The 14098-nt window shown below is 40.3% G+C and overlaps 1 protein-coding gene across 14 annotated transcripts in view; it reads left to right on the top strand.

Moving 5' to 3' along the window:
- SH3D19 (SH3 domain containing 19) overlaps window positions 1-14098 on the top strand; it is a 205325-nt gene that overhangs the window by 166111 nt on the left and 25116 nt on the right. For all 14 annotated transcript variants that reach the window (NM_001378131.1, NM_001378128.1, NM_001378122.1 and 11 more), the window contains 3 exons: window positions 143-255; window positions 9934-9995; window positions 11309-11573. In NM_001378131.1, coding sequence (NP_001365060.1) covers window positions 143-255; window positions 9934-9995; window positions 11309-11573 — 440 coding nt within the window. The remainder of the gene's footprint in view (window positions 1-142; window positions 256-9933; window positions 9996-11308; window positions 11574-14098) is intronic.

Below are 14098 nucleotides of genomic sequence, written 5' to 3'. Positions count from 1 at the left end.
TGGGAGCTCTTTCTCATTTGCTTAACTATTTGTGTGTATCTTTTATGATAGCCATTTTTCTAATAAACTAAGCAGCAATCATTTCATTCTTTGGAATCCCAGAAACTAGAAATTATTGATGAATTACTGCTACTTTTTCCAGGTTTACATGAGGATCCACAAAGTCCACCTCCTCTCCCTGCTGAAAAACCTATTGGAAACACTTTCAGTACAGTATCTGGAAAGCTCAGTAATGTTGAGAGAACTAGAAACTTGGTAAGTGGTCATTATAGATTGTACTAGATTGAAGACGTAGCTATGCATTAATTTTGAATAGTCAGCTAATATCTAAATTATTTTATTACTGGTCAGATTAAAAACAAGAACCCTCTATTAGAGACCAGTCTCTAAGCCCCATGTACTTATATAATATAGTGTTCAATATGTTAAAAGTCCCTATAGAGAGATTAGGCCAATTCATTGTACTTCACTATAAAATAATTTGTATACCAACTTAATGGCATTGTCTTTTAAATGAAACTAATAAGGAGAAGGTTATTAAAATGTCTAAAAACCTTTAATATTCAGGGAAATAACTTTATTCAAGTTGTTGGTTTTTATTTAAAATACCCAACTAGTGACCAAAATTTAAGATAATTAACATAAGAATTTTTAAATCTGAAATTTAAGAAAAATGTATTTTTTTTATTTAAAAAATAGTGTTTTACTGTGCATTTGTTAAGATGGAGGTCAAAGAGATTTTTTAAAGTACATATATATATTTTTCATTTCAACTTCAATATCCTCAATACTTTTATTTATTTTTTTTTTTTGGTCTTCCAACTTTTGTGGTTTCTTGGGGAAACAGACATGCAGCAAGTAATTAGAGAAGTGGTTTAAGAAAAAGAATAAAGGTGGCTGGACACAATGGCTCACACCTGTAATCCCAGCACTTTGGGAGGCCAAGGCGGGTGGATTACCTGAGGTCAGGAGTTCGAGACGAGCCTGGTTAACATGGTGAAACCTCGTTTCTACTAAAAATACAAAAATTAGCCGGACGTGGTGTCGTGTGCCTGTAATCCCAGCTACTCCAGAGGCTGAAGCAGGAGAATCGCTTGAACCCGGGAGACAGAGGTTGCAGTGAGCCAAGATCACGCCACTGCACTCCAGCCTGGGGCGACAGAGTGAGACTCCATCTCAAAAAATAAATAAATAAATAAATAAAGAATAAAGACTTTCAGAGGACTTTATGGGAAGCCCATGACAAAGCTCCTGATTATTTCCTCTGTTTTAAATTTAAATAATAATTGTACATATTCTTGGGGTACATAGTGATGTTTCAGTACATATACTATATAGGGATCAGATCAGGGTAGTAAGCATATCTGTCATCTCAAACATTTTTCACCAATTCTGTTTGGAATATTCAATATCTTCCTTCCAGCTATTTGAAGCTATATATTATTGTTAACTATAGTCATCCTGCAGTGGTATAGAACACTAGAATTTATTCCTCCTGTCTAGCTCTAATTTTGTATTATTTAACAAAGCTCCCTATCTCTCCCTTCTTTCTACCCTTCCCAGCCTCTAGTATCCTCCGTTCTACTTTTTATTTCTATGAGATCAACTTATTTTTAGCTTCCATGTATGAATGAGAAGATGCAGTGTTTAACTTTCTGTTCCTGGCTTATTTCACTTAACATAATATCCTCCAGTTCCATTTATGTTGCCACAAATGACAGGATTCCATTCTTTTTTATGGCTGTATAGTATTCCATGGTGTATACATGCCACATTTTCTGTATCCATTTATCTGTTGTTGGACACCTAGGTTGATTCCGTATCTTGGCTATTGTGAGTAGTGCTGCAGTAAACATGGATGTGCAGATGTCTCTTCAATGTAATTTCCTTTCCTTTGAATAAATTCCCAGTAGTGGGCTTGCTGGATCATATGGTAGTTCTATTTGTAGTTTTTTGAGGAGCTTCCATCCTGTTCTCTACAGTGATTGTACTAGGTTACATCCCCACTAACAGTGTATAAGAGTTCACCCTTCTCTGCATTCTTGCCAGCATTTGTTTTTTTTTTTTATCTTTTAGATAATAGCCATCCCAACTGGGGTGAGATGATACCTCATTGCCATTTTGATGTGAATTTCCCTGATGATTAGTGAGGTTGAGCATTTTTTAATGTATTTGTTGGCCATTTGTGTGTCTTCTTTTGAGAAATACCCAGATCATTTGCCGTTTTTTTTTTTTCTTTTTTTGAGATAGGGTCTTACTCTGTCTCCTGGGCTGGAGTGCAGTTGTGTGATCACAGCTCACTGCAGCCTTGACCTCCTGGGCTCAGGTGATCCTCCCACCTCAGCCTCCTGAGTAGCTGGAACTATAGGCGCATGCCACCACACTCAGCTAATTTTTTGTATTTTTTGTAGAGACAGGTTTTGCCACATTGCCCAGGCTGTTCTTGAACTCCTGGATTCAAGCAGTTGTCTGGCCTCCGCCTCCCAAAGTTTATTTGCCCATTTTAAAATCAGATTGTTTGGGGTTTTTGCTGTTACGATGTTTGAGTTTCTTTTGTATTCTGGATACTAATCCCCTATCAGATGAGTAGTTTGCAAATATTTCCTGCCATTCTGTAGGTTGTCTTTTCACTCTGTTGGTTGTTTCCTTTACTGTGCAAAAGATTTTTGGTTGATATAAGCCCATTTGTTTATTTTTACTTTTGTTGCCTGTGCTTTTGAGGTGTTATTCATAAAATCTTTTTTAAGACCAATGTCCTGAGGTCTTTTCCCTGCTTTCTTCTAGTAGTTTTATTGTTTCAGGTCTTAGATTTAGGTCTTTGAGTTGAGTCTTATAAAGAGTGAGTGGGAGGGTTTAGTTTCATTCGTCTGCATATGGATATCTAGTTTTCCCCAGCGCCATTTATTGAAGAGACTGTGCTTTCCCCAATGACTGTTCTTGGCACTTTTGTCAAAAATCGATTGGCTGTAGATATGTGGATTAATTTTTGGATTCTCTATTCTGTTCCATTGGCCTGTGTGTCTGTTATTATGCTAGGTCCATGCTGTTTTTGCTACTACATCTTTGTGTAGTGTATTTTAAAGTTGGTAGGTGATGCCTCCACCTTTGTTCTTTTGGCTCAGGATTGTTTTGACTATTCGGGGCCTTTTGCGGTTCCGTACAAGTTTTAGGATTTTTTTTTCTTTGTTTGTAAAGAATGTCATTTGTATTTTGATAGGGATTGCATTGAATCTGTAGATTTCTTTGGGTAATATTCTCATTTTAACAATATTAATTCTTCTAATCCATGAATATAGAATGTCTGTTTGTTTGTATCCTTTGTATCTTCTTCCATTTTTCCATCGGTATTTTGTAGTTTTCCTTGTAGAGGTCTTTCACTTCCTCAGTTAAATTTATTACAAGGTATTTCTTTTTGTAGCTATCGTAAATAGGATTGCCTTCTCAATTTCTTTTTTTAGCTAGTTCTTTGTCATGTATAGAAATGTTACTGATATTTGTATATTAATTTTGTATCCTGCAACTTTACTGAATTCATTTATCAATTCTAAGAGGGTTTTTTTGGTAGAGTCTTTAGGTTTTTCTAGATATGAGATCACTTCTTTTTTTGAGACAGAGTCTCGCTCTGTCGCCCAGGTTGGAGTGCAGTGGCACGATTTCGGCTCACTGCAACCTCTACCTCCTGGGTTCAAGCAGTTCTCCTGCCTCAGCCTCCCAAGTAGCTGGGACTACAGGTGCGCACCACCATGTCCAGCTAATTTTTTTTGTATTTTTAGTAGAGACAGGGTTTTATCATGTTGGCCAGGCTGGTCTTGAACTCCTGACCTCAAATGGTCCATCCGCCTCGGCCTCTCAGAGTGCCAGGATTACAGGCATGAGCAACCACGCCAGACCCCAGTCGTTTTTTTTAAATGTCCATATGGCATATGATCTTTAAGGCTTGTTTTAAGAGAAATTAACTTTTAAGTCTTTGAACCAAATTTTCAGTTCAAATTTCATCATGATTTTACATTGTGCATTAACTATGCTTATTATACAGGCAAGCCCACCTAATCATCTGGAGAAGAAAAATTTCTTTGAAGGAGACATTAAATTAAATTAGCCAATATCAAGTTAATGAGATTTTCCTGAAGAATGAATTAAAATTTAGTGATCACTTGTGATTTTCAAAGTAGCTGGTAATAAACTTTTATTAAATCTGGGCCAAGAAAGCCCAAAAGAGGATAGTAGGGTTCCTACCTTACTAACGTTAAACTGGAAAATCCCAAATTCCCTTGGAGGAAAAGTTGCTTGAGAAGGTTGGCTTCTACTCTGAAATGGTTATAAAAAGGAGTGAGAGGGTGATGAGTAAGTAAAACATCATTTGTTAATGTCCATTATATGTAATGTCCATCATATGTAATGGACTTTGTAAACTATAAAGCTTTATTGAAATAGTATTGGGGTGCACTGTGGCTCACACCTGTAATCCCAGCACTTTGGGAGGCCAAGGCGGGCAAATCACTTGAGATCAGGAGTTTGAGATCAGTCTGGCCAACATGGTGAAACCTCATCTGTGCTAAAAATACAAAAATTAGCCAGGCATGGTGATGCGTGCCTGTAATCCCATCTACTTGGGAGGCTGAGGCAGGAGAATCGCCTGAACTCAGGAAGTGGAGGTTGCAGTGAGCCAAGATTGTACCACTGCACTCTAGCCTGGGCAACAGAGCAAGACTCGTCTCCAGAAGAAAAAAAGAAATAGTATTATACAAAAATGAGCCAGGTGTGGTGGCACACACCTGTAGTCCCAGCTGCTCAGGAGGCTGAGGCACGAAAATTGCTTGAACCCGGGAGGCAGAGGTTGCAGTTAGCTGAGATCGCACCACTGCACTCCAGCTTGGGCAACAGAGCAAGCCTCTGTCTCAAAAAAAAAGAAAAGAGGCCGGGTGTGGTGGCTCACACCTGTAATCCAGCACTTTGGGAGGCCAAGGCGGGTGGATCACTTGAGGTGAGGAGTTCAAGACCAGCCTGGCCAACATGGTGAAACCCCATCTCTACTAAAAATACAAAAATTAGCCAGGTGTGGGCCGGGCGCAATGGTTCAAGCCTGTAATCCCAGCACTTTGGGAGGCCAAGGCGGGCGGATCGCCTGAGGTCGGGAGTTCAAGACCAGCCTGACCAACATGGAGAAACCCCATCTCTACTAAAAATCCAAAAAATTAGCTGGGTGTGGTGGTGCATGCCTGTAATCCCAGCTACTCGGGAGGCTGAGGCAGGAGAATCGCTTGAACCTGGGAAGCGGAGGTTGTGGTGAGCCAAGATCACACCATTGCACTCCAGCCTGGGCAACAAGAATGAAACTCCATCTCACAAAAAAAAAAAAAAAAAAATCAGCCGGGTGTGGTGTCATGCGCCTATAATCCCAGCTACTTGGGAGGCTGAGGCAGGAGAATTGCATAAACCCAGGAGGAAGAGGTTGCAGTGAGCCGAGATCGCGCCACTGCACTCCAGCCTGTGCGACAGAGTGAGACTCCATCTCAGAAAAAAAGAAAAGAAAAGAAATAGTATTATTATGTTTAGTGCTAAGCAGTCCGGAAGCAACTTCCACATTTTAGAAAAACAAAAAAAAGGAAGTTATAATAAATTAAACCATCTGGAGAGATACCATATTCATAATTGTGTTTGTTCCTCACATGACAACATGAGGAAAATCCTGTCCTGCACTGTTTATAAAGGGAGTCAGAACATTCAGTACTGTACTATAATAAATGCATACCATAATAAACACACTGAATCTGAAGGAAGAAGAGATGAAGAATCAGACTACAAGTTAAATGATTTGCCTGAATTCACGCATATAGATTTCTGGGACCTGAAAGTCAATCTGTGCCTAAGAAATCCCTTTTTTTTTAAAAAAAATTACAATTACTGAATGAATTTTGAAACAGAGGCCATAAAGACTTAAAGGTGTGGGCCAGGCACGGTGGCTCATGCCTGTATTCACAGCACTTTGGGAGGCTGAGGCAGGTGGATCACCTGAGGTCAGGAGTTCGAGACCAGCCTGACCAACATGGTGAAACCCCCATCTCTACTAAAAATACAAAATTAGCCAGGTGTGGTGGAGCACGCCTGTAATCCTAGCTACTTGGGAGGCTGACGCAGGAGAATCGCTTGAACCCAGAGGTGGAGGTTGCAGTGAGCCGAGATCGCGCCACTGTACTCCAGCCTGGACAACAAAGCGAGACCCTGTCTCTAAAAAATAAAAAAAGAAGTAGTGCTAATTCTTGGAGAAAAAAGATAAGAAACATATGGAGGCCACTCAGTAATTCCAGCAGACAAGAGTGTGGTCTTGGGAGAAATACCTGTTTTTTTAAAAAAATATAGCAGCTGGGCATGGTGGTTCATGCCTGTAATCCCAGTACTTTGGGAGGCCGAGGTGGATGGATCATGAGGTCAGGAGTTTGAGACCAGCCTGACCAAAATGGTGAAACCCCATCTCTACTAAAAATACAAAAATTAGCCGGGTGTGGTGGCACGTGCCTGTAATCCCAGCTACTCAAGAGGCTGAGGCAAGAGAATTGCTTGAACCCAGGAGGCGGAGGTTGCAGTGAGCCAAGATCGTGCCACTACACTCTAGCTTGGGTGACAGAACAAGACTACGTCTCAAATATATATATATGTACATATATATGTAGCAAAAGTCTAGGCACAGTGGCTCACCTCTGTAATCCCAGCACTTTGGGAGTCCGAGGCAGGTGGATCAGTTGAGGTCAGGAGTTCCAGAACAGCATGGCCAACATGGTGAAACCCCGTCTCTACTAAAAATACAAAAATTAGCCAGGCATGGTGGCGCATGCCTGTAATCCCAGCTACTCGGCAGGCTGAGGTGGGAGAATTGCTTGGACCCGGGAGGCGGAGGTTTGGTGAGCTGAGAGCATGCCACTGCACTCCAGCCTGGGCAACAGAGTGAGACTCCATCTCAGAAAAAAAAAAAAAAAAAAAGAGAGAGAGAGAATAGCAAAAAACTGGGGAATTATTTTTAAATTGGAATATTATTCCAGTGCAGATGAACAAAAAGATGGAATCTGCAGAGACAATATAAGCAGGAAAACCAACTTCACCAGAAACTAAAATGCTTGTCCAAACACATTAAAAGCCAGAGTTCAGGGATATCAGAGCTAGAGAAAAACTGTCAAAAAGCAAATGCAGAGAGCCTTGAGGTTATGTGTGGAATACCCACGAGGAGGAAGTCCCTAATCAGTTATCTTGCAAAGACTCAGCAGAACCTGGGCATAAACCCAGACTTGAGCAAACACTAAGACAATGGCTCCTGCAAGAACTGTCTCCTCTCAATATTTGGAGTATGTCAGATACAGCAGTGCCTTTCAGAATGTGCCTAACATCCCTAAAGAATTTGAATATGCCACTCTTTTTTTCTGATTTAAAATTTTCTTACTGTTGCAAATTAAGAAATTAAAAAGATGTTTAAGATTTTCCATAAAAATACCACCCCCCAGGAAAAACTATAGCTAATATTTGGTACAAAATTAGGGTCATATGCTGTGCATTTATTACAGTACATCATCTGCATCTTTCCATGTCAAATTTATATATCTATTTTTTAAATTTTCTTTATCAAGGTATCTAACAATTACAGTTTTGAGAAAAGCAATTAAAATTTCTTCCTATCTGCTAGAGTTTGTTTTAATTTTAAAGGTAGCCAAAGAAATAAATGCATTTTTCAAGCATCATGGCAATATTTGTCAGGAAAAATATAGGCAGCAGTGTAATTATAAGGCAAGGATTATATTCTGGAATATTGCAGGGTTTATGAGCTGGTTACTTGCTTCACTACATTAACTGAACTCATTAGTGAAACCAAGTTTTAAGGGCAAGCTTAATTTGTTTTTTAAAATGGGATTTTATAATATTGAAACATGTTTAAATGATCACAGTTATTGGCAATTAATCATTTGGTATTTAAGGAAAAGGTTATAAATATTCAGTATAATTTAAAAATCATAAAAGTGAGTTTTGGCTCATTTATAAGAAGGAGAAAAACAGTCTGAAGTAGCCCAAAGATTTCCAAGCTTTAATTAAACATCCTTTACAAAAAAAAAAAGCAATGTAATTTAAAGAGTCAGCATTTTTTTTCTTATGAAGTTTTGGGGAAATATTATTTCCTGAGTGTGTTGGGGACTTAGAAAGTAGGAAAAGTGGAAAACAAAAAAACACAGAATTAGAAGAATTTATTGAGGGACTGGGTGTGGTGGCTCACGCGTGTAATCCCAGCACTTTGGGAGGCCAAGGCGGGTGGATCACTTGAGGTCAGGAGTTTGAGACCATCCTGGCCAACATGGTGAAACGTCGTCTCTACTGAAAATACGAAAATTAGCCAGGTGGGGTGGCACACGCCTGTAGTCTCAGCCACTCGGGAAGCTGAGGCAGGAGAATCACTTGAACCTGGGAGGCAGAGGTTGCATTGAGCTGAGATTGCATCATTGCACTCCAGCCTGGGGGACAGAGTGAGACTCTGTCTCCAAAAAAAAAAAAAAAAAAAGAATTTTGTGAGGGCTTTTTCCCCCTCCAAAAAACAGAAATTTTGGCTTTGAGATCCTTTGGCTTCCCACTCAACAGAAGATCTGAAAATATTCTCCACGTATTACCTTCATTTCCCAATCCTTGGGCTATAACATGTTCAGAAAACCTGTTTAAATGGAACAGTTTGACCCTTCCCCTACAGAAATCTTCCTATTAATCTCCACACTTCCAGTTTCTCTCATCTACCATTAGGATAAAACATTCCAACTGTGACTGTCTTTTATTGTTCATATTATTCTCCTTCACTCTTTTCCTCTTTTCTACGAAACTCTTTTTTAGCCCATCCAGCCCTTTTGCTAGAGTGGTACCAGCACACTGCTTTCTTGGACCTTAACTATTTCTCCTTACATGCCTTCCTCTCAGACCATCCTGCAAGTTTCTTTTACGTTCCCACCTCCTTCTAGTTCAAAACCCACTGCAAATTGTTGAAACCAAACAGTGATGAGATAAGATCTGCCTATTCAAAGCAAAACCAACTAATAACCATCCCTCTTACTATGTGTTTAAATTTAGGAGCAGTGTGTTTCTTATGTGTGATCACGGAATGAATAAAGAGCATGTATATATATATATGTGTGTGTATATATATATATATGTATATATATATGTGTGTGTATATATATATGTATATATATGTGTGTGTATATATATGTATATATATGTGTGTATATATATATATGTGTGTGTGTATATATATATATATATATATATTTTTTTTTTTTTTTTTTTTTTTGAGATGGAGTCTTGCTCTGTTGCCCAGGCTAGAGTGCAGTGGCATGATCTCGGCTCACTGCAACCTCTGCCTCCTGGGTTCACGCCATTCTCCTGCCTCAGCCTCCCAAGTAGCTGGAACTACAGGTGTCCGCCACCATGCCCAGCTAATTTTTTGTATTTTTAGTAGAGATGGGGTTTCACTGTGTTAGCCAGGATGGTCTCTATCTCCTGACCTCGTGATCCACCCGCCTCAGCCTCCCAAAGTGCTGGGATTACAGGCGTGAGCCACCGTGCCCGGCCAAGAGCATACATTTTTAAATTCTCTTCAGGGCCTGCTTAAATTTTCCCTCAATATCTCATGAATCCACTGAGTGCATGACCATGCAGTGCAGTTGCTCAGGCTGTGGTCCACAACAGGAGACTGGTTTCTTCCTGTCAGTGTTTTCACTTGTTATTAGGACATGAATAATTTAGGCAGAAATAGGTTAATATTGTTTAAGGCTGAAAACTCTTTTAAGCTACTTTCTATAATTCAACTGCATTTCTACTTGTAGATCCAGCCAAAAGGTTGCCTAGAATTTCTCTTGACAAGTTCTTGTTTCAGATTAACCTTAACTAAAAAGCATTCTCTGCTACTTGCAGGAATCCAACCACCCAGGTCAAACAGGAGGTTTTGTGCGAGTACCCCCAAGGTTGCCACCGAGGTAAGTAAATGTGGGAAAAGTTAGAGAAAAATTAATGACTCAGAGACCCAACTCTTTTTTATCACCAAGATTGAGTGTTGTTGGCCTTGAATCTTTTTTTAGAGATAAAATAATCTCACCGATTTCACGCAGGCCCCTAATCCACTGTCTGCTCCTAATGGTAGGTTGTGGGAATCTCTGCTCCCTTTTTAACACAGTTCAACTCATAGAGCATTTATTTCCTCAAATAAATGAACAAGACTCATTTCTGAACTTAAAACAGCTCCACTTCTAGAATATACGTATACATGCACACAAACACCCTCCTGGTTAAGAAACTGGTTTTTGGCATTTCCGAAGGAGACTGGCTTTGTGAGCTCAGAGGTGACTGCCTTCTGAGTTCCGGAGCTATTCAAATAAAGGGCTGTAATGCTATCAGAAGACATTATTACTATGTTGAAATTTATTTATTTATTTTTTTTTTGAGATGGAGTCTCCCTCTGTCACCAGGCTGGAGTACAGTGGCGCGATCTCAGCTCACTGCAACCTCCGCCTCCCGGGTTCAAGCGATTCTCCTGCCTCAGCCTCCCAAGTAGCTGGGACTTCAGGCATGAGCCACCATGCCCAGCTAATTTTTGTATTTTTAATAGAGATGGGGTTTCACCATGTTGGCCAGGATGTTCTCGATCTCATGACCTCATGATCCGTCCATCTGGGCCTCCCAAAGTGCTGGGATTACAGGCATGAGCCACCACTCCCAGCCGAAAATTATTTCTATCGTAGGGATTAAGGAAAGGCTTTCAAAGTAATAGTTGTCCTATCCTTTCAGAACTAGCTTTCTTTGTATTAATCTAAATTAGACTTTTAATAGTAACACCTATAACATGAATATTAGGGGATTTTGATGTTCCTTTTCTAATCATGTACAAGACCCCAGCACACATACATCGTATCTTATTATAAGCTTTTCATCTCAGACTTTGGTAGAAAGTACTTAGTTTCCAGAAATAGTCATGATGTGTTTAAGAGCAAATGGGACCTTAGAGAGCCCGTGATAGTAAATGCTTGTTTGTCTTGAACTAATGAATCTCTAGCGCAAGATAAGAGGAAACTGGAACATCATGGCATTTCCTCTAATAATGTAATGTTTAATGCAGCAGTCGTTTGCTCAAAAATAGCATACCCTGCATGTTTCAGTAAACTGTATTCCACTAGCAGAAAGCTGTGTCTCTGTGTGTGTGTGTGTGTGTGTGTGTGTGTGTGTGTAAGACAGGACAGGACAGAATTTAATACTGATCAAAACACTGACTCATGGCTACTACATTGACTTTCAGACCTGTGAATGGAAAAACCATTCCAACTCAACAGCCTCCAACCAAGGTGCCCCCTGAGAGACCACCTCCCCCAAAGCTTTCTGCAACCAGAAGATCTAATAAGAAACTGCCTTTTAATCGATCCTCTTCTGACATGGATCTTCAGAAAAAACAAAGTAACTTGGCAACTGGACTCTCAAAAGCCAAGAGTCAAGTTTTTAAAAATCAAGATCCGGTGCTACCCCCTCGTCCCAAACCAGGACACCCTCTCTACAGTAAATACATGGTAAATTTAGCTTTTAAAAATGTTTGTGGTCAAGAGGTGTGCCCTAAAGTATATATACGATTCATCATTCCTTAGAAAAAGATGATGGAACAAATGTGGAATTGTCCCTTGACGCCAAGAGTGCTTTAGATGAGTAGGCCATAATAAATTCTAGGTCTTGGTTGGGCACAGTGGCTCACACCTATAATCCCAGCACTTCGGGAAGCTGAGGCTGGTGGATCAGCTTGAGGCCAAAAGTTTGAGACCAGCTGGCCAATGTGGTGAAACTCTGTCTCTACTAAAATTACAAAAAATTACCCAGGCGTGATGGCACAATCCTGTAATCCTAGCTACTCAGGAGGCTGAGGCATGAGAATTGCTTGAGCCTGGGAGGCAGAGGTTGCAGTGAGCCAAGATTGCACCACTGCACTCCAGCCTGGGCAACAGAGCAAGACTGTCTCAAAGCAAACAAACAAAACACCTAGGTCTTTAAAGCAGGGTTTCATTATTAGGAGAAATGTAGGGAAAGAGGAGAGAAAGCAGGGCAGGCCGCTTGTAACTTGCTGCCTGGCTGGACCAAACAGAAATTCTGAAAAACCTGACCCAGTGGGTTATACTAATGGGAGTAACTCTGACAGATACTATAGTTTATATCTTTTGTTTTTCCTTTCATTTAAGAGATGGAGTGTCATTCTATCACCCAGACTCGAGTGCAGTGATGCAATCATAGTGCACTGCTGCAATCATAGTGTACTGCAGTCTCGACCTCCAGAGCTCAGGGATCCTCCTGCTTCACACTTCTGAGTAGCTGGGGTTATGGGAACATGCCTCCACTCCTGGCTTATAGTTTATATCATGATATAGTTTATATCTAATAACTCCTTTTCCCCTTGAGTAAATTTTAAAATGAAGTAGAAAGTTCTTACTAAGATGGATGGTTTTTCCCTCATTTTCCCCTTTTGTAAGCCCAATAATTATCGTGGTCCATTTAATAGTTACCAGTTAGAAGTTTTCATCAATAGTTGAGATATTGATTTTGTTCTCTTTTAATGTTTTTCTCATCAAATGACCTAAACCTTTGCCTGCATTTCCCACAGTTAAAAAACAGAGTTGCTGGGTGGTGGCTCATGCCTGTAATCCCAGCACTTTGGGAGGCCGAGGCGGGTGGATCACTTGAGATTGGGAGTTTGAGACCAGCCAGGCCAACGTGGTGAAACCTCTGTCTCTACTAAAAATACAAAAATTAGCTGGGCGTGTTGGCACATGCCTGTAATCCCAGCTACTCCAGAGGCTGAGGCAGGAGAATTGCTTGAACCCGGGAGGCAGAGGTTGCAGTGAGCCGAGATTGTGCCACTGCACTCCAGCCTGGGCAACAGTGAGACTCCATCTCAAAAAAACAAAACAACAACAACAACAACAAAAACAGTTGATGTGTTCTCTACTTTGATCAGGTTAACCTGAAAAATGTAAAACAAATAAAAATGATAAGGAGGCCAGGTGCAGTGGCTCACACCTGTAATCCCAGCACTTTGGGAAGCCAACTGCTTGAACCCAGGAGATGGAGGTTTCAGTGAGCCAAGAGCATGCCACTGCACTCCAGCCTGGGTGACAGAATGAGACTCTTTTTTAAAAAAAAAAATAAAATAAAAATGATCAGGAGAGCAGGACTGCTTACTCTTTTTAACAATTGAACGACAGAGTAGCTTGTAACAAGAACAGCAATTAATAATTCTATGTTGTGTTACATTTCCATCATTGAGCCAGTAATTATTTTTTCTTTAAGCTGTTCAGGGTTTTTCAAAAATCCTCTTTAGAGAAGGGTAAAGACAAATAAGAAGGAGGCAGTATATTCATATATATTAATATTCACTTAAACTGATAAAACTTTAATTTCTAAAACCCAGGGGTGTTCTTTGGGATAGATTACTTAATTAATAAATAACAGTAGTTGATGTATATTGAGTACTAATTATGAGCCAGGCGCTGTTTGAAGCACTTTATGTATGTATTAAATAACTCATTTATTCCTCATACCAACCTTGTGAGGTAGATATTATTATCCTCCTTTAACAAGTGAGGAAAATAAGAAACAGAGACATAAAGTAACATGCCCAGGGTTGCGAATCCAGTTAATGGTGGAGCAAGATTTGAGAACAGGTCAGCTGGCTCTGACACCTGCTCCTAACCATTACGCCAATCGTAGCCTCTACTTGATTTGGCCATTCTGTTAAGAGCCCTTTCTCAAGGGGAACCAGATTTCACATTTGGTTCTTGTCACGCACGTCTGTGTGAAGAGACCACCAAACAGGCTTTGTGAGAGCAACAAGGCTGTTTATTTCACCTGGGTGCAGGCGGGCTCATTCCAAAAAAGGAGTCAGCAAAGGGAGACAGGAGTGGGGCAGTTTTAAAGGATTTGGGTAGGTAGTGGAAAATTGCAGTTAAAGGGGGTTGTTCTCTTGCGGGCAGGGGCGGGGGTCACAAGGTGCAGGGTAGGGAGATCAGGAGACTCATTGTCCTGGGGAGGAACATAACAAGGTCGATTGATT

Source organism: Homo sapiens, chromosome 4, assembly GCF_000001405.40.
Source record: "Homo sapiens chromosome 4, GRCh38.p14 Primary Assembly".
NCBI lineage: Eukaryota > Metazoa > Chordata > Mammalia > Primates > Hominidae > Homo > Homo sapiens.
Note: the sequence above shows the minus strand (reverse complement) of the source record. Positions and strands in the feature narration are given on the sequence as shown.